Source organism: Homo sapiens, chromosome 22, assembly GCF_000001405.40.
Source record: "Homo sapiens chromosome 22, GRCh38.p14 Primary Assembly".
NCBI classification, from domain to species: domain Eukaryota; kingdom Metazoa; phylum Chordata; class Mammalia; order Primates; family Hominidae; genus Homo; species Homo sapiens.
In genome coordinates, this window is record NC_000022.11 from 17,667,782 (window position 1) to 17,688,026 (window position 20,245).

At 42.9% G+C, this 20,245-nt stretch overlaps 1 protein-coding gene across 25 annotated transcripts in view; it reads left to right on the forward strand.

Moving 5' to 3' along the window:
• The window catches only part of BCL2L13 (BCL2 like 13), a 101,979-nt gene that overhangs the window by 38,905 nt on the left and 42,829 nt on the right, over positions 1-20,245 (forward strand). For 23 of the 25 annotated variants that reach the window (NR_073068.1, XM_047441286.1, XM_011546120.2 and 20 more), the window contains one exon: positions 15,433-15,540. The exons of 1 other annotated variant lie outside the window; for it this stretch is intronic. Coding sequence is in view for 17 of the 24 variants with exons in the window: in XM_047441286.1 (XP_047297242.1) it covers positions 15,433-15,540 (108 nt within the window). In the remaining 7 variants the exon portion in view is untranslated. Of the gene's footprint in view, positions 1-15,432; positions 15,541-16,827; positions 16,926-20,245 lie in introns of all 25 variants that reach the window. One more of the 25 variants, NR_073069.1, reaches the window with a different exon arrangement.

Consider the following 20,245-nt stretch of genomic DNA (forward strand, 5'->3'; position numbering starts at 1 on the left):
TACAGGCGTGAGCCACCGCGGGCAGTTGTAAGAATTCTTTATATGTTTTGGTCACCAGATTCTTATCAGATACATGATTGCTAGATATTTTCATTCATGCTATAGTTTGTCTTTTTACTTACTTTCTTGGCAGTATCCTTTGACATACAAACATTTTTAATTTTGGTGAATTCCAGTTTGTCTTTTTTTTTTTTTTTTTTTTTGAGAGCATGAGGAAGGGCTTGTAGTTGCCTATTCTTTTTTTTTTTTGAGACAGTCTCGCTCTGTCGCCCAGGCTGGAGTGCAGTGGCACTATCTTGGCTCATTGTAACCTCCGTCTCCCAGCTTCAAGCAATTCTTCCACCTCACCCTCCCAAGTAGCTGGGATTACAGGCGCACACCACGATGCCAGGCTAATTTTTTGTGTTTTTAGTAGAGATGGGGGTCTCACCATGTTGGCCAGACTGGTCTTGAACTCCTGACCTCAGATGATTTGCCCACCTCAGCCTCCCAAAGTGCTGGGATTACAGGCGTGAGCCACCGTGCCCTACCTGTCTTAACGTTTTTTTATTATGCTTTGAGTGTCTTATCTAAGAAACCATTGGCTAATACAAGGTCATGTACATTTTCACCTGTGTTTCCTTCTGAGAATTTTATAGTTTTAGCTTTTAAATTTAGGTCTTTGATCTGTGTTTTTTTTTTTTTCTCCTGAGATGGAGTCTCGCTCTGTCGCCCAGGCTGGAGTGCAGTGGTGCTGTCTCAGCTCACTGCAACCTCCACCTTCCTGGGTTCAAGCAATTCTCCTGCCTCAGCCTCCCAAGTAGCTGGGATTACAGGCATGCACCACAGGCGTGCACCACGATGCCTGGCTAATTTTTGTATTTTTAGTAGAGATGGGGTTTCACCATGTTGGCCAGGCTGGTCTCGAACTCCTGACCTCGTGATCCACCTGCCTTGGCCTCCCAAAGTGCTGGGATTACAGACGTGAGCCACTGCGCTTGGCCTGATCTGTTTTGAGTTAATTTTTACATATGGTTTGAAGTAGGGATTCAGATAAGTTCTTCTGCATAGTACTGTGGTTTCAGTGTCCCCTCAAATTCATATTGTAACTTAGCTCCCAATGTGGCAGTATTAGGAGATGAGGGCTTTTAGAGGTAATTGCATCTTGAGCACGTTGTCCTTGTCTTAGTTCATTTATATTGCTATAAAGGTACACCCGAGGCTGGGTAATTTATAAAGAAAAGAAGTTTATTTGGCTCCTGTTTCTTTCTTTTTTTTTTTTTTTTTTTTGAGACGGAGTCTCGCTCTGTCGCCCAGGCTGGAGTGCAGTGGTGCGATCTCAGCTCACTGCAAGCTCCGCCTCCCAGGTTCACGCCTTTCTCCTGCCTCAGCCTCCTGAGTAGCTGGGACTACAGGTGCTTGCCACCACACCCGGCTAGTTTTTTGTATTTTTAGTAGAGACGGGGTTTCACCATGTTAGCCAGGATGGTCTCAATCTCCTGACCTCGTGATCTGCCCGCCTCGGCCTCCCACAGTGCTGGGATTACAGGCGTGAGCCACCGCACCTGGCCTGGCTCTTGGTTCTTCAGGCTGTTTAAGAAGCATGGCACTGGCGTCTGCATCTGGTGAGGGCCTCAAACTGCTTCCACTCATGGTGAAAAGGGGAAGCTCATGTGTGCAGAGATCACATGACAAGAACAGAGGCCAGTGAGAATAGGAAGGGAGGTGCCATGCTCTTTTTAACAACTAGTTCTGGCAGAAAGGAACTGAGCAAGAACTCACTGAGAACCTTGAAGATGGTACCAGGTCATCCATGAGGGATGCACTCCCGTGACCCAAACACCTCCCATTAATCCCCACTTCCAGCATTTGGGATCAACTCTCAACATGAGATTTGGAGGGTTTAAACAAAGCAAAATATAGTAGCCGTTACAAATGGATTAATCCATTCGTGGGTTAATGGATTAATGAGTTATGTGAGTGGAACCAGTGGCTTTATTAGAAGAGGAAGAGAGACCTGGAGCTCACACATTAGCATGCTCAGCCCCCTCGCCATGTAATACTCTGTGCTGCCTCGGGACTCTGTTTGAGGTCAAAGGCAGCCCCTCAACCTTGGACTTCTCAGCCTCCAGAACTGTGAGAAATAAATTCCTTTTCTTTATAAACTATCCAGTTTCAGGTATTCTTTCATAAACAAAAGAAAATGGACTAATACACATGGGGATCTCTTGTTGTTGTCTCAGCACCATTTGTTGAAAAGTTATTCTTTCTCCCATTGGTTGACCTTGGTACCTTTCTCAAAAATCAATTGACCATATATGTATGGATTTATTTTTCCCTTCTCAATTCAATTCCATTGGTCTGTATACCTGTTGTTATACCATACTATTTTTATTGCTGTAGCTTTGTAGTAAATTTTGAAATTATGAAGTGTGAGCCCTTCAACTTTGTTCTTCCTTTTCCAAGATTGCTTTGACTATTCTGTGTCTCTTGCATTTCCATATTAATTTTAGGATTGGCTTGTCTATTTCTGGAAAAAACAGAGTTGGAATTTTGATGGGGATTACATTAATGTGTAGATCAATTTGGGGAGTCCTGCTATCTCAAATCAGCTTTTTTTTTTTTTTTTTTAAGACAGAGTTTCGCTCTTGTTGCCCAGGTTGGAGTGCAATGGCGTGATCTTGGCTCACCGCAACCTCTGCCTCCCAGGTTCAAGTGATTCTCCTGCCTCAGCCTCCCAAGTAGCTGGGATTACAGGCATGCGCCATCATGCCTGGCTTATTTTGTGTTCTTAGTAGAGATGGGGTTTCTCCATGTTGGTCAGGCTGGTCTCAAGCCCCCGACCTCGGCTGCTTCGGCCTCCCAAAGTGCTGGGATTACAGGCATGAGCCACTGCGCCCGGCTTACATCAGCTTTTCAAGGCAGATTTGTATAACCCAATTTGAAATTGAGCCATAATATATTATTTCCAGAGATGTGTACTGTTTCATTCTTATCTTAGCTTTTCTATCAGGAACAGAAGATGGTTGATCTCGACCACTGTGAAGCCAGACCTTGGGTGGTGCATGGTGGAATTCTGCATTCTTTTCCCTCAGATCTGTCCTCCATCAGTCTGTCTCCCAATCTGCAAGATGCTTAGGGGGTATGATAACGCTAGAACCTGAAAACTGCAATCATGATTGGCTGTCTGGAATTTGGTTGTTTAAAACAAAACAAAAGACTGGGCATAGTGGCTCACACCTGTAATGCCAGCACTTTGGGAGGCCGAGGTGGGCAGATCATGAGGTCAAGAGATCGAGACCATCCTGGCTAACATGGTGAAACCCTGTCTCTATTAAAAATACAAAAAATTGGCCGGGCACGGTGGTTCACACCTGTAATGCCAACACTTTGGGAGGCCGAGGTGGGTAGATCATGAGGTCAAGAGATCGAGACCATCCTGGCTAAGACGGTGAAACCCCTTCTCTACTAAAAATACAAAAAATTAGGTGGGTGTGATGGTGGGTGCCTGTAGTCCCAGCTACTGGGAAGGCCGAGGCAGGAGAATGGCGTGTACCCGGGAGACAGAGCTTGCAGTGAGCCAAGATCACGCCACTGCACTCCAGCCTGGGTGACAGAGCGAGACTCCATCTCAAAAAAAAAAAAAAAAAAAAAAAATTAGCCAGGAGTTGTGGCGGGCGCCTGTAGTCCCAGCTACTCAGGAGGCTGAGGCAGGGGAATCGCTTGAACCTGGGCAGCAGAGGTTGAAGTGAGTTGAGATCGCGCCATGCACTCCATTCTGGGCAACAGAGTGAGGCTACATCTCAAAAAAAAAAAAAAATCTTGCTCCTTTATTTATTTATTTTTTTTGTAGAGACATTTGTTTCGCCATGTTCCTCAGGCTGGTCTCAAACTTCTGAGCTCAGGCGATCTTTATGCCTTAGCCTCCCAAAGTGCCACTCTGCCCCAAACATCTGTTTTCTTTTTCAGACAGAGTCTCACACTCTTTCCCAGGCTGGAGTGGAGTGCAGTGGTGCAATCTCTGCTCACTGCAACCTCTGCCTTCTGGGTTCAAGCAATTCTCATGCCTCAGCCTCCTGAGTAGCTGGGATTAAAGGAGCGCGCCATCACGCCCAGCCAATTTTTGTATTTTTAGTAGAGATGTCATTTCACCATGTTGGCCAGGCTGGTGTCAAACTCCTGACCTCAGGTGATCCGCTCGCCTTGGCCTCCCAGAATGCTGGGATTACAGGCATGAGCCACTGTGCCCGGCCAACATCTGGTTTCTTAATTGCTGGTCCAGTAAGGTATATTTTGAGGTATTTGTTTTTGCTATTTAATGAACAATTGAACCATTCTGTCTATATGTTCAATGGACCTTTTTGATTTGATTGTAATTATTTGGACTGCCTAGAGTGTTATCGCAAGGCTAATTGCCTGAATACTTGCTAAAACAAAGATCATGGAGCTCTACCCTAGACCTACAGGACCAGATACTGCATGCTAGGACTTGGGAATCTATAATTTAATGTGTTTTATAGGTAATTTAAATGTGTTTCCAGTTTGGGGAACCATAGATTTCGAAAGTATTTTGCTCTGGGAGCTCTAGTCCATTCAACTTGGCTAAACTTGTTAATCTTCTATTCACTTTGATAGCTCTGAATGAATTTTAGGGCTGGAATATAATGATTACTGACTCACTTGACTTCATTTGAAACAAGTGGGTGGGACTTAGTGTGCTAAAGTCTGTTTATCTTTGAAATATTTGTATCTTGGTTTATAGTCCAGAATTTATGCAGCATTGGCCCCACTGCGTAGCTCTGTGCTTTAGAAAAACTAGGTGGAGAGGATTAATTAAATGCAAATCACTGAATCTCTCTGTGTCACTGGTCAGCTAAATAAATAGCCTTTGTGTCCTAACAGCAGCAGACATTTTCTGGTTTAGGTTTTCCACATGGTTTATTATGAAGTATGACAACTTGTCATGTGTAATCAGCATCACATTAGTCTCAAGAGAATAAGCTCTCCTTTAATCAGCTGCTTTTCTTTAATCTGGTGGGGTGAGGCATATGGTAACCATGACATTTTTGTCATTTGCTTTGTGGGATGGTGGTGGTATTGATGGTGGTGTGATTGGATGTGTGTGGGTGTATGTATGTTTTGGGTATGTAGATTTTCCAAAAAGGGGCAGATGACAGATGGCAGATAAAGCATTCATGTATTCCTTGTCACTGTGCGTCAAAAATTATAGTCGTATGTCCTGGGAGTCAATAATAATTCTATTTACCAGAATATGTAGTTTCTAATGTTATTTCTCTGTTATTTATTAGAACTTGGGCTAGTCATTAAATTCTCTGAAGTCTCATATTCTTTATGTAATGAGGATAGACTTGACAGCCTTTACAGACTATAAACCTGTAAAGTTCTATGATTCAGTCACTGATTAAACTCTCATAAGTATGCAAGTAATAGTGGAGGTCTTATTCTTTCCATTCCTAGTTCTCAGTATCTCCATCGTGACTCATCGCCATAAATAAATGCTCTATTTATCTTCCTATCTATGCAGTTGGTCTGTTGTCATATTTGCCTGATGCAATATGACTTCTCATTTTCTTTTCTTTCTTTTTTTTTTTTTTTTTTGAGACAGAGCCTCACTCCGTCACTGTCACCCAGGCTGGAGTGCAGTGGTGCGATCTCGGCTCACTGCAAGCTCTGCCTCCCAGATTCATGCCATTCACCTGCCTCAGGCTCCTGAGTAGCTGGAACTACAGTCGCCCACTACCATGCCTGGCAATTTTTTTTTTTTTTTTTGTATTTTTAGTAGAGATGGGGTTTCACTGTGTTAGCCAGACTGGTCTCGATCTCCTGACCTCGTGATCCGCCTGCCTCGGCCTCCCAAAGTGCTGGGATTACAGGCATGAGCCACTGCGCCCGGCCTTATTTCTTTTACCTTTTGTCATTTGAGCTGTCCTCAAAATATACTGATAACTTTGTATTTTTTATTTATTTGTATTTTTAAGCTACACCTGCTGGAATGGGAACTTTGTATTTTTTTAATTCCTTTGAATTTATTTATAATTCTTATTTTATTGTGTTTTTTTAAGTGTCTCCTCTCCCTAGCGAGGTTGCCATGTATACATAGAGAATACAGTGAGCTTTTCATCTGTACATATAAATCTTTACGTTGTAACTCTAAGTTTTTATCATAGTAGATAGTGGTAGCTGTCAAGTATTTGAATATTTTTTTAGTCCATATTTCACACAAGTCTAGGACAAAGGAAGTATATCCCAAAGTGTTTGTAATCTGTTTAGAATGATGATAATAAAGTACAAAATCATCAAACAGCATAGGATAGTGTATTTTTAAGTGTTAAACTTTGTGACACAGACTAAATGTATAAATGTTTAAGGTCAGTGATAGACCTGTAAACATAATAGTCAGTGAAGACATTTTGAAGTAGAGAGTTACATTGGTTTTTCAAGGATAGACAGAATTTGAATTATCAGGAAACAGAAGGACAGTTTATGTTGAGCAAAAATGTAGAATAATATGTTTGAGGTTTTTGTTTGTTTTGTTTTTTAGAGATAGGTTCTTGCTGGCGGGGCACAGTGGCTTACGCACTTTGGGAGGCTGAGGCGGGCGGATCACAAGGTCAGGAGTTCAAGACCAGCCTGGCCAACATAGTGAAACCCTGTCTCTACTAAAAATATAGGAAATTAGCCAGGCATGGTTCCGGGCGCCTGTAATCCCAGCTACTAGGGAGGCTGAGGTGGGAAAATCATTTGAACCCAGGAGGCGGAGGTTGCAGTGAGTAGAGATCGTGCCACTGCACTCCAGCCTGGGCAACCGTGTGAGACTCTGTCTCAAAAAAAAAAAAAAAAAGAAAGAAAGAAATGAGTTCTTGCTATGTTGCCCAGGCTGGAGTGCAGTGGCTACTCACAGGCATGATTATAGCACACTATGGCCTCAAACTCCTGAGCTCAAGGGGTCTTCCTGCCTAGGCCTCCCAAGTAGCTGGGACTGTAACATGCTACTGCATCTGGCTTGTTTTGTTAGATAGTGAGAAATTGGCAGTGAGTTCATACTGGATGCAAATAGTAATACTTTTTTAAAAAATTCCTTACCACATATAATTTAATGTGGCTTATGATGCATAATGGAAAAATCCAAATAGTAAATAAAAAAATCAGGAGTAGGAAAATTGTACATGTCTATAGTAGGAATAACAGATCATAGATAGGTAAGTAGTCTGTGAGATCCTCTACAATTATACTAGTGCTGAGCTGTGAATTTGGTTCTTGGGAAAGCCAAATACATACATACATACATATGTATACACACACACACACACATATATATACTATAAAACAGAGGGTATATTTAGTTCCAGGAATCTTTTACCCCTATAATTTAGAAGCTATACTAGTTCCTTTTGGTTGGAAAATAGTTTTTTAAAAGATTTCTTTTTTCCCACTAAGAGCTTTATAACATAGGACACAGAAATGCAGTAGAAAATGTTGTCAATATCGGCCAGACGCGGTGGCTCACTCCTGTAATCCCAGCACTTTGGGAGACCAGGGTGGGCAAATCATGAGGTCTACAATTCAAACCTTGTAGAAAAATGGATCCAATAGGTTATATTATCTGCAAGAAGTCTAAAACGTGTAGGTGTTCTGAGTTTCTGATTAAGGGGAGGTCAAGAGTAGAATGATAGATATTAAGTTAGAAATGTTTTTGTGGAATAGAGGGCTAACTTTTTTCAGCCTGGTTGTTATTTCTGTTTCTGTCATTGAAGTATGTTTGAAGGAGTGTTAGTAGCTACAAGAAGGATTGATTTCTCTTAAAAGCACGTTCATTCACTGTAGCTTATGACAGTGATTGATCAAAATTCTTACATTGTTGAGTATGACAGAGATTACCTTAGCCTGGAAAAAAATTGAAGGCAAGTCCATTAGAGGCAAGCCACCCTTGGAAACAGGTTGCAGAACATCTGGTATTCAGGAATACAGCTTTTTAGTAAAACTTCCCCAATCAATTTGTTGTGCAATGTCCAACAAATTTAAGCAACACATATTAAGCCATTCTCTCTAGCAGCAATTGAAGAGCAAGAATAACTGCCTGTCAAGATTTCTCCTAGTTTGTGTTAAAACAGCCTTATTTTATATTACATGGCATTATCTAAACTGACAGAGGTTGTCCTGCTATTCCTACCTTTCACAGTGTGGAAAGCAGGTTCTGTATAAGCATCTTTGATTAAAAATCTGTGATGAGCTAATTTCTGTTCACAGAGATAAGGGGCCAGGAAAGATAATTATCTAATAATACAATTTTAGAGCATGAAAAGAATTGGTGAGTGGGAGCACCTGTCGATTGGGCATTTATCTCATTACTCTTCACAACTACCCTTTGTGGTGGGTATTATTTTCCCATTTTATATAAGAGGAGAGACGGTGGCTCACGCCTGTAATCCCAGCACTTCGGGAGGCTGAGGCAGGCGGATCACTTCAGGTCAGGAGTTCGAGACCAGCCTGGCCAACATGGCAGAACCCTATCTCTACTAAAAACAAAAAAAAATAGGCAGGTGTGGTGGCACACGCCTGTACTCCCAGCTACTTGGGAGGCTGAGGTGGGAGAATTGCTTGAACCCAGGAGGTGGAGGTTGCAGTGAGCCGAGACTGCACCACTGCACTCCAGCCTGGGTGACAGAGCGAGACTCTGTCTCAATTAAAAAAATAATCATAAAGAGGAGAGGGTCAAGAAGATTATTTTCCTTGCCCAAGTGAAGAGTTAGAAGGCCTGACTCCAAAGCTTATCAACCACTTTACGGCTGTTTTCCAGGAAGCTGGAAGGGAAAGAGAGAATTTTATTGCAAGAAATAGCATGGGCCGTGAATTAATTTCTGAGCTTGTGTTTGATTTCACTTAATAATGTCATGATGTATTCTGGAGATCACTGTATCTTGTGCAGTTATATTAATCAGTGCTGTTGCAGAGCCATCTAACACTACAAATTACTTCTAAAGGGAAAACCTGTTATAATTATAAACAGTAATGGAGATTTAGTAGAAGCTTATCTGTAAAGGTAGACTTTTATGCTTTATGAGAATTTATAAAGATTAGGATAAATTGGCATAGGATCTTTCTAGGATAAATTGGCCTCAAATTTTTGCATAATAGATTGTTTTATGTAACATTTTCAAGTTTTTATGAATGTAGTTTATCAAAGTTATTTACTTAGGCAGAAGTAAGTGAAATGTCATTAAGCAAAGTATATGCTATTGGTGACATTGAGGAGATCCTTTGTGTTACATTTCAACTTTTAAGGATTCTGGCACTTAGGGAGGCAGAGGCAGGAGGATGGCTTGAGCCCAGGAGTTTGAGACCTGCCTAGGCAATATAGTGAGACCCTATTCTCAAAAAATAAAAAAATAAAAAAATAAAAGGATTTGAATTTTATTTTGGTTAGTCTCATCTCATAAGGAAAGTGTTTTATGTCGCTTAAAGCCATGTTATTTTTGTCAGCTTTAAAAGTAGAAAATGAATCAGAATCTGTGATACGTAAAAATGTTTAACCTTTTGTTTTTTAAAGGTATTTTAAATACCTGTGGATGATAGAATAATCAAGTTTCTTGACCTTAATAGAATTAATTAATTCAAAGCCCATCTGAGAATTTGGGATTCTTTAATTTGGTTGCAAAAAATGAAAACATAGGCAGAGCCTGGTGGCTCATGCCTGTAATCCCAGCGTGAGGGAGGCCAAGGTGGGCGGCCTGCTTGAGCCCAGGAATTTGAGACCAGCCTGGCCAACAAGGCAAAACTTTGTCTCTACCAAAAAAAAGAAAAACCCCACACAGCTGGGCGCGGTGGCTCACACCTGTAATCCCAGCACTTTGGGAGTCTGAGGCAGGTGGATCATGAGGTCAGGAGATCGAGACCATCCTGGCCAACATGGTGAAACCCTGTCTCTACCAAAAATACAAAAATTAGCTGGGTGTGGTGGTGTGCACCTGTAGTTCTAGCTACTCAGGAGGCTGAGGCAGGAGAATCACTTGAACCCAGGAGGCAGAGGTTGCAGTGAGGCGAGATCGCGCCATTGCATGATCTGGCGACAGAGCGAGACTCTGTCTCAAAAAAAAAACAAAAAAACCCCACAAAAATTAGCTGGGCATGGTGGTGTGTACCTGTAGTGCCAGCTACTTGAGAGGCTGAGGTGGGAAGATCGCTTGAGCCTAAGAGGTTGAGGCTCTTGTGAGCCATGATAGTGCCACTGCACTCCAGCCTGGGCAACAGGGTGAGACCCTGTCTAGAAACATAAAATATATAGAAGTGCTGAAGTGCAGTGGTGCAGTCATGGCTCACAGCAGCCTCGACCTCCCAGGCTCAAGTGATCTTCACACATCAGGCTCCCGAGTATCTTGGACGATGGGAACATGCCACTGTGCTCAGCTAGTTTTTTTTATTTTTCGTAGAAACAAGGTCTAGCTATGTTGCGCAGGCTGTTCTTGAACTCCTAAACTTAAACAATCCTTCTGCCTCGGCCTCCCAAAGTGCTGAGATTACAGGCATGAGCACCACACCCAACTGAAGTGAAGATTAAATAAGGGGACATGAAAGTCCCTGTCAGAAGACAGTATCACCGATATAGACAGCCTTTCTGCTCTCTGTTAACTATTTAATCATGTCAGAAATGTTTCTGAGATCTTTCATTCCTAGCCACCCAACCAGAAGATGACGAGAGCACAGCCTGGATTAACGATTTTGTAGTCAGACTCACCAGAGTTCCAATTATAACTTCTTTATGGTAGTGGTAGAACCTATCCAAGCTTCAGTTTCCTCATCTTCAAATGGAACTATTATTTCATCCCTCATAAGGTTGACTTGGAAATTAAATGAAATAACACATAGGAAATGTTTACTACCGTGCCTGTTAAGTAACAGGTACTTTGTAAATGCTTGCTGTTGTCCTGCCCTTCCTGAACTTCCCCAGTCTATATAAATAGTTTCATGTGCTGGACAAATCTTACTCATTTTTGTGCTGCGTAGATGCTTCAGGACATACCTGATAAATAGCAGGTAGTCAATGTTTCTTCAGTGGATAAATGAATAGTAGGTAGACCTGCAACTTAGTGGCCCAGTTCATGCTGCTTTTTGTTAGCTTGTTTGGTTTTTCTGCTGAAATTCTTGCATGGTGGAGTATAGTTGATTGCAGGGCCCTTCCCCCACACCCAGGTAGGGGCTTCATTGTCCCCACAAGTTACTTATCTCAAGTCTTTAGGGAAATGAAAAACCACTCTCCTCTAACAGAAGGTTAGTTGCTAAGTATACAATTCAGCATCCTCTGGGTGTTCAGGTAAGTCTGAATTTAAGTTCCAGAAATGAGTGAGATTCCTAGGATGACTCTGAATTATCTTGACTTCCCTGAATGCTTCTGGCTAAAAACCAAGCTGGGATTATTGATGTGATTGTGAATCTGGCCCATGTCCTGGGAATGTGGATTCTGCTGCATATGTCAATTGGTTTGGCTCTTTTTTTTTTTTTTTTTTTTTTTTGAGACAGTTTCACCCTTGTGGCCCAGGCTGGAGTGCAATGGTGCGATCTCTGCTCACCACAGCCTCCAACTCCTGGGTTCAAGTGATTCTCCCACCTCAGCCTACCGAGTAGCTGTGATTACAGGCGCCTGCCACCATGCCTAGCAAATTTTTGTATTTTTAGTAGAGACGGGATTTCACCATGTTGGCCAGGCTGGTCTTGAACTCCTGACCTCAGGTGATCCGCCCGCCTTGGCCTCCTGAAGTGCTGGGATTACAGGCGTGAGCCACTGTGCCTGGCTGGTTTGGCTCTTTTTATCCTAAATTTTTTGTTTAAATGTTCTGTAGTACTGAAATCACCTGAAAGTAGAAGAAAAAAAAATTATTCAAGAAAGAATATTTTTGCAATGTAGGGAGAGCTTGAGCTTTTTATATAAGCTTTTAAAGCTTTAAAAGGAACTGTGCTGTTTTACCCCCAAATTTGCCCACTTTGAATTCAGGAGAAACGTTTTGGTCTCCTTTATGTTCTAGTCTCTGGATACAAATGTTTTCTTTGTTCGTTTTTTCCCCTTATTACCAACCACAGGTTCTTAGGCTCCTGTGTAATAGAAATTGACACAAGGCCAAGCAAGTTTCCCAGACAAGGCTATATTAAGACTTATGGGCCAGGCACGGTGGCTCACGCCTGTAATCCCAGCACTTTGGGAGGCTGGGGCGGGCGGATTACCTGAGGTCAGGAGTTCGAGATCAGCCTGGCCAACATGATGAAGCACCATCTCTACTAAAAATACAAAAAATTAGCCGGGCGTGTTGGCAGGCACTTGTAATTCCAGCTACTCGGGAGGGTGAGGCAGGAGAATTGCTTGAACCCCGGGGGGCGGAGGTTGCAGTCAGCCGAGATTGTGCTATTGCACTCCAGCCTGGGCAGCAAGGGCGTAACTCTCTCTCAAAAAAAAAAAAAAGCTGGGCACGGTGGCTCACGCCTGTAATCCCAACACTTTGGGAGGCCGAGGTGGGCGCATCACGAGGTCAGGAGATCAAGACCATCCTGGCTAACACGGTGAAACCCCATCTCTACTAAAAATACAAAAAATTAGCGGGGAATGGTGTCGGGCGCCTTAGTCCCAGCTACTCGGGAGGTTGAGGCAGGAGAATGGCATGAACCTGGGAGGTGGAGCTTGCAGTGAGCCGAGATCAAGCCACTGCACTGCACTCCAGCCTGGGAGAGAGCGAGACTCTGTCTCAAAAAAAAAAAAAAAAAAAAAAAAAAAAAAGAAAAAAAGACTCATACCTAGAAAGGTTGGACATAAGGGAGACAGCACAGGAGGAAGGGTTCTCCAGCTGGCTCTCCGAGGGGAGTGCATTGCGGTGTCTTAAGGAGGGTGGCATGCATGATTCACGAGGTAAGTGAGCATCACTACGTGTGTGGGGTGGAGTGCAGACACGGTAAGGAATCGTGCTAACACATGATCAGAAAGTGGCAGATAAGCGTCTTTCTGGGTGGTGATTTTAGTATTATAATGAGGCTGGTGATTAGGATTGGTCATTGTCCTTGAGCTCGTGTGAGTGGTAGAGCTCACTCCCTTGAGTAAGATTTATGGCAGGCTGCTGCCTATAGTTTCTTCATACCATACCTGCGAGGTCTGGTCAGCAGGTATGGTGCCAGTTGGGATGGCGCTGTAGGGTGTGGCGGTCACTGAGAACGTATGGAAAAACACATTAGTGGGGTGGGGCCAAGTCCCATTTCCTACTCTGTCGCACCTCCATGCCCCGCGATTACTCGTCTTGATCTGTCTCCTGGAGCCTTTTAGTGGTTGGTGATCATTGGCCCTGCTCATTAAGTCAGGTTACCCAATAGTACAAAACTGTAGTACATTAGCCAAATGAAAGAGGACTATATTATGCAGTGGGTGTGAGTATGTGAATTCAGGGACGGGGAAAGAAGGAGAATTAGATGGGCTGGGCGCAGTGGCTCACACCTGTAATCCCAGCACTTTGGGAGGCCGAGGCAGGTGGATCACGGGGCCAGGAGATCGAGACCATCCTGGCTAACACGCTGAAACCCTGTCTCTACTAAAAATACAAAAAATTAGGCGGGTGTGGTGGCGGGCGCCTGTAGTCCCAGCTACTTGGGAGCAGGAGAATGGCGTGAACCTGGGAGGCGGAGCTTACAGTGAGCAGAGCTTGCGCCACTGTACTCCAGCCTGGGGGACAGAGCGAGACTCCGTCTGAAAAAAAAAAAAAGGAAAATTAGATGGTAATTAGTAAAGAGTTTAAACCAAGGCTTATAGAGGTCCTGAGAGGGTCCATGAATGCCCTAAAATTGCTTGCCAAACATTGTGGGAGGAGGGGCCATTATTTTATTGACATTCTCTTAAGAGCCTGAAATCTCAAAAAGCCCAAGAACAAGAACTGCTGTGCTGTGATCACTGTCATAGAGGCAGGCTTGGACTTTGGGGTGTTTGATTTAATATAGTCCATGCTTGCAAGAATGGCGAGAGGCGACATTGTGCAGGGGTTAGGGCCCAGACCCTGAAAGTTGACTGCCTGGGTTTGTATCTGAGCTCTGCTGTTGGTGCACCCTTGGTCACATTTCTTCCCTGTGTCTTGGTTTTTCACCTGCAAACTGAGGATAATAGTAATACCTATCTCAAAGGGTTGTTATGAGCATTTTATGAGCATATGTGTATATACACATACATACATACGTACGTACATGTACATACAAAGTGCTTAGTATAGTGCCCCCAGCACTTGATATTAGCCATTATTGTGTATTGTTATCACTAAAACTAACTTGGGTGAAATTGGACTGTCAAATGACAGAGGTACTGCTTTCAGGCTTCAGCAGTATCTTTTTTTGTACCTTAGTACTTGCAAAGATATATAATTATCTTGCTGTATTTAGAAAACTTAGTAGCAAAATAGAATTAACCAGTAATAAGCATGAGAGACTGGTGATGAGCATAACTCATAAATCTAATGTGATTGGTACAAAGAAATCGTTATGCCCACAGTGGTGGAATTTTAGCCTCAGTTGTGTGCTTTGTGGACTTAAGCAGCAGTCAACTAACTGTTGTGGGCAGGGTTGGGGGAAGAAAAGAAAGAAAATTACAAAGCATGTATAAAATGCTAGAAGTATATCATCTAAAAATGTGTCCAAAAGTGAGATACAATTAGGGATCTATATAATTTGAAGTGGGGGGAATGGACATCTCCCACCACCACTGAAATATTAATAGCATGAATTCTTTTTGTTTTTATCATATTCCATCTTCATACTTTTTAAAAAGGATACATTGTCTACAAAAAGAGAGGACTGGCCCGACTTATTGATACATCTTTCCCAACCTCCTCTTGAGTTAATGTGTTTCTGAAGATTCAGCTCAATTTCCCTGTTTCTGGCAGAAACATCTGGAAAGGTGGAGACTTACTCACTCTCAATCCATAGGCCCAAATATTTCTACTAAAGGTTGTTTTTGATTTTTGTTTTTTAATTATTGCAAAAAGGATTTCCTCCCGTCCCTAATTTTGATAATGAATTTTGATTTTGCATTTTTTGGCTTAACAAATTGCTATTGTAGGGCTGGGTGCAGTGGCTTACGCCTGAAATCCCAGCACTTTGGGAGGCCGAGGCAGGCGGATCACAAGGTCAGGAGTTCGAGACCAGCCTGGCCAACATAGTGAAACCTGTCTCTACTAAAAATACAAAAAAATTAGCCAGGCGTGGTGGCAGGCGCCTATAATCCCAGTTACTTGGGAGGCTGAGGCAGGAGAATCGCTTGAACCTAGGAGGCAGAGGTTGCAGTGAGCGGAGATCATGCCATTGCACTCCAGCCCCAGTGACAGTGCGAGACTCCGTCTCAAAAAAAAAAAAAAAAGTGCTATTATATTCTAATGGTTTCTCTCTCCCTCTTTCAATAATAACCTTTTTTGTTGCTTTCAGGGGTTCAACTAGATATAGCTTCACAATCTCTGGATCAAGAAATTTTATTAAAAGTTAAAACTGAAATTGAAGAAGAGCTAAAATCTCTGGACAAAGAAATTTCTGAAGGTCTGTTTATTCTTATTTTTCTAGTTAATAAGCAGATTGTGTTTGTTATGGTTTACTGTTGGTTTAATTTGATTTTTACAGTGGGGTATTCTCAACAGTTAACAACTTACACCAATTATACATTGGTAGAAGTTTATAAGGGTAAAACTAGAAGGTAGCCTTTTTTCTTTCCTGGAGGATATGTTGATGGAAGTTCCCCAACTATACCTAACAGGTTAGATGTAGCAGTTTCTCATGTTAAGTATCGGATAAATGATCATGTTAAGGTTCTTTCCATTCACTATGGTTTGATTTGTATTTAGTATTACCTTTATAAGTAATAACGACATAAAAAGGAAAAAGTAAGCATACGCTTTTATTTTTGCATACATATATACTATAGATAACTGTAATTATAATGTACATTCAACTTTATAGCCATTTTATTTTGCACTTAACATTACAACATAAACTTTAAAAATAGTTACTCTACTAACTGCGTGAAATTTCATTCACTGAATAAATGTTTTTACTCAGTCATTCCATTATTATTATTATTATTATTATTATTATTATTATTATTACTATTTCAGAGACAGGGTCTTGCTCTGTTGCCCAGGCTGGAGTGCAGTAGTGAGCACTGGGATTACAGGTGTAAGCCACCATGCCTGGCCTGTTCCCTTGTTATTGAGGGGAGCATTTGGATTATTATTCCTTTTTTCACTGGACGACGACTACACAGCATTTGCATTATTTCCGGTTTTGTCTTCCATAGGTAATGCTGCACTGAACATCTTACCCAATGATATAAATATATTTTTACAGCTTTATTGAGATATATTTTACATACCATAAAATTCACCCATTTAAAAGGTCCAGTTCAGTCTGGGCACAGGGACTCATGCCTGTAATTCTAGCACTGTGGGAGGCCAAGGCCTCAGGAGGGTTGCTTGAGCCCCTGAGTTCAAAACCACACTGGGCAACATAGGGAGACCATGTCTCTATTTATTAAATAAATAATAATAATAATAAAGTACAATTCAGTGGTTGTAGTGTATTCACAGAATTTATCACCATGATCTAAATTTAGAACACTTTCGGTTCTCCTTAAAGAAACACAATACACATTAGCAGCCACTTCCCATTCCCACTAGCCCCAGGCCCCAACCCCACCCCACACCAGGCACCCACTGATCTCCATTCTGTTTTTATTGATTTGCCTATTCTGGAAATATACATAAATAGAATAGTTCACTATGTGGTGGTGGTGGTGGTGTTTTGAGATGCAGTTTCGCTCTCATTGCCCAGGCTGGAGTGCAGTGGCACCATCTCGGCCCACCACAACCTCCATCTCCCAGGTTCAAATGATTCTCCTGTCTCAGCCTCCTGAGTAGCCAGGATTACAGGTATGTGCCACCAAACCTGGCTAATTTTTTGTATTTTTTTTTTTTTTGACAGAGTCTGGCTCTTTGCCCAGGCTGGAGTGCGGTGGCGGGATCTTGGCTCACTGCAAGCTCCGCCTCCTGGGTTCAGGCCATTCTCCTGCCTCAGCCTCCCGAGTAGCTGGGACTACAGGCGCCTGCCACCACACCCGACTAATTTTTTGTATTTTTAGTAGAGACGGGGTTTCAGCGTGTTAGCCAGGATGGTCTCGTTGATCTCCTGACCTTGTTTTCTGCCCGCCTTGGCCTCCCAAAGTGCTGGGATTACAGGCATGAGCCACCACGCCCGGCCTGTAATTTTTTGTACGTTTAATAGAGACAAGGTTTCTCCATGTTGCTCAGGCTGGTCTTGAACTCCTGACCTCAGGTGATCCGCCCACCTCGGTCTCCCAAAGTGCTGGGATTAAAGGCGTGATCCACTGCGCCTGGCCACTATGTGGTCTTTTGTGACTGGCATTTTTTACTTAGCATAATGTATTTTTGTTGTTGTTGCTGTTTTTTAAGACATCGCCTTGCTCTGTTGCACAGGCTGGCATGCAGTGGCATGATCTGGGCTCACTGCAACCTCCGACTTTAAGGTTCAAGCAATTCTCCAGCCTCAGCCTCTTGAATAGCTGGGATTACAGGTACCCACCACCACGCCCAGCTAATTTTTGTTTTTAGTAGAGACGGGGTTTCACCATATTGGCCAGGCTGGTCTCCAACTCCTGACCTCAAATGATCCACCTGTCTCGGCCTCCCAGAGTGCTGGGATTACAGGCGTGAACAACTGCACCTGGCCGACTTAGCATAATGTTTTCAAGGGTCATCCATGTTGTAGCATGTATCAGTACTTCATTACTTTTTACAGTCAAATAATATTCCACTGTGTGGATGTGTCATATTTTGTTTATTCATTCATTAGTTAATGGAAATTTAGGTTGTTTCTACTTGTTTACTATTATGTATAATGCTGCTGTGAATATTCTTGTGCAAGTTTTTGTGTGGACATATATTGCCCAATAATTTTTTCTTTTTCTTTTTTTTTTTTTTTTTTTTTTTTTTTTTGAGACAAAGTCTCGCTCTGTTGCCCAGGCTGGAGTGCAGTGGCGGGATCTCGACTCACTGCAAGCTCCGCCTCCCAGCTTCACGCCATTCTCCTGCCTCAGCCTCCTGAGTAGCTGGAGCTACAGTGCCCACCACCACACCCAGCTACTCTTTTGGTAATTTTTAGTAGAGACGGGGTTTCACCGTGTTAGCCAGGATGTTCTTGATCTCCTGACCTCATGACCCGCCCACCTCAGCCTCCCAAAGTGCTGGGATTACAGGCGTGAGCCACCGTACCCAGCCTGCCCAATAATTTTTAATGATCAAAATTATAAATTATGTTCATAACTCATGTTCCTCGTTAGTAGAGAAAAAACACAGATAGAAATGTACAAATAATCCCGAGACCAGGTGCGGTGCCTGTAGTCCCAGCACTTTGGGAGGCTGAAGTGGGTGGATCACTTGAGGCCAGGAGTTTGAGATGACCCCAGCCAACATGGTGAAACCCTGCCTCTATAAAAATACAAAAAAATTAGCCAGGCATGGTGGTGCACACCTGTAATTCCAGCTACCTCGGAGGCTAAGGCATGAGAATCTCTTGAACCCAGGAAGCATAGGTTGTAGTGAGCCAAGATCATGCCACTGTACTCCAGGCTGGGTGACAGAGTGAGACCATTTAAAAAAAATGAAATGTACAAATAATCCTGAAACCTAATGTTAGTCTTGTCTTTTATATTTCTTTTTTTTTCTTTTTTTTTTTGAGACAGAGTCTCGCTCTGTCACCCAGGCTGGAGTGCAGTGGTGCGATCTCAGTTCACTGCAACCTCCGCCTCCCGAGTTTAAGTGATTCTCCTGCCTCAGCCTCCTGAGTAGCTGGGATTATAGGCGCCCGCCACCATGCCTGGCTAATTTTTGTATTTTTAGTAGAGGTGGGGTTTCACCACGTTGGTCAGGCTGGTCTCGATCTCCTGACCTTGTGATCTACCCGCCTCGGCCTCCCAAAGTGCTGGGATTACCGGTGTGAAACACTGTGCCCGACCATTATATTTCTTTATCAACATTTTGAAATGATTAAATTTCTGATTCTCTTCATGTATATTCTGGTAACAGCACTGCTGCATAGTAAAATGGGCAAAAGGTAGAAAGAAGAAGAGAGTAACAAAAGGTTTAAAATACGTTCACTTATTGAACCCCATATTATCTAAGTTAGACCATTAAAATGGATGCTCTCCAGCTTGCTCAAACAACAAAGTATTTGTGAACTTTGCAGCCATTTGCATCTTTCTCGGAGGCAAGCACTTTATAAAGAAACACATACTTTATAGTAAAATTTGCAGCCTTATAGGAGTAAGCGTTAGATTAATGCAATAAATACTTAATGCAGATGACGGCTAAATCTTGGGAGTGGGTGCAAGCGGCCTGCTTTCCTGGTAGCTGATGCCTTGCATCGCATTTGTACTCTGGAACAAGTTACTCTGCTTGCTCTTCCTGCAGTTAGGGAATGGTTAAGTGTCTACAACAAGTTATGACTGCTTTTTCTGGATTCAAGTTTTATTTTATTTTTATTTAATTAATTTGGTTATTTTTTGGGGAGACAGAGTCTCACTTTGTTGCCCAGGTTGGAGTGTAGTGTCATGATCAGGGCTCACTGCAGTCTTGACTTCCTGGACTCAAGTGATCCTCCTACTTCAGCCCCCCAGTAGCTGGGACTATAGGCGTGTGCCACAGCACCCAGCTATTATTATTATTATTATTTTCTTTTTTTTGAGCCAGAGTCTCGCTCTGTCACCCAGGCTGGAGTGCAGTGTCGCAGTCTCGGCCTACTGCAAGTTCTGCCTCCTGGGTTCACACCATTCTCCTGCCTCAGCCTCTCAAGTAGCTGGGATTACAGGCGCCCGCCACCAGGCCCAGCTAATTTTTTTGTATTTTTAGTAGAGACGGGGTTTCACCGTGTTAGCCAGGATGGTCTCGATCTCCTGACCTCGTGATCTGCCCGCTTCAGCCTCCCAAAGTGCTGGGATTACAGGCGTGAGCCACCGCACCCGGCCCCTTTTTTTTTTTTTTTTGAGAAGGAGTTTCACTCTTGTTGCCCAGGCTAGAGTGCAATGGCACAATCTTGGCTCGCTGCAACCTCTATCTCCCAGGTTCAAGCGATTCTCCTGCCTCAGGCTCCTGAGTAGCTGGGGTTACAGGCATGCACCATCACGCCCGGCTAATTTTTGTATTTTTAGTAGAGACGGGGTTTCCCCATGTTGGTC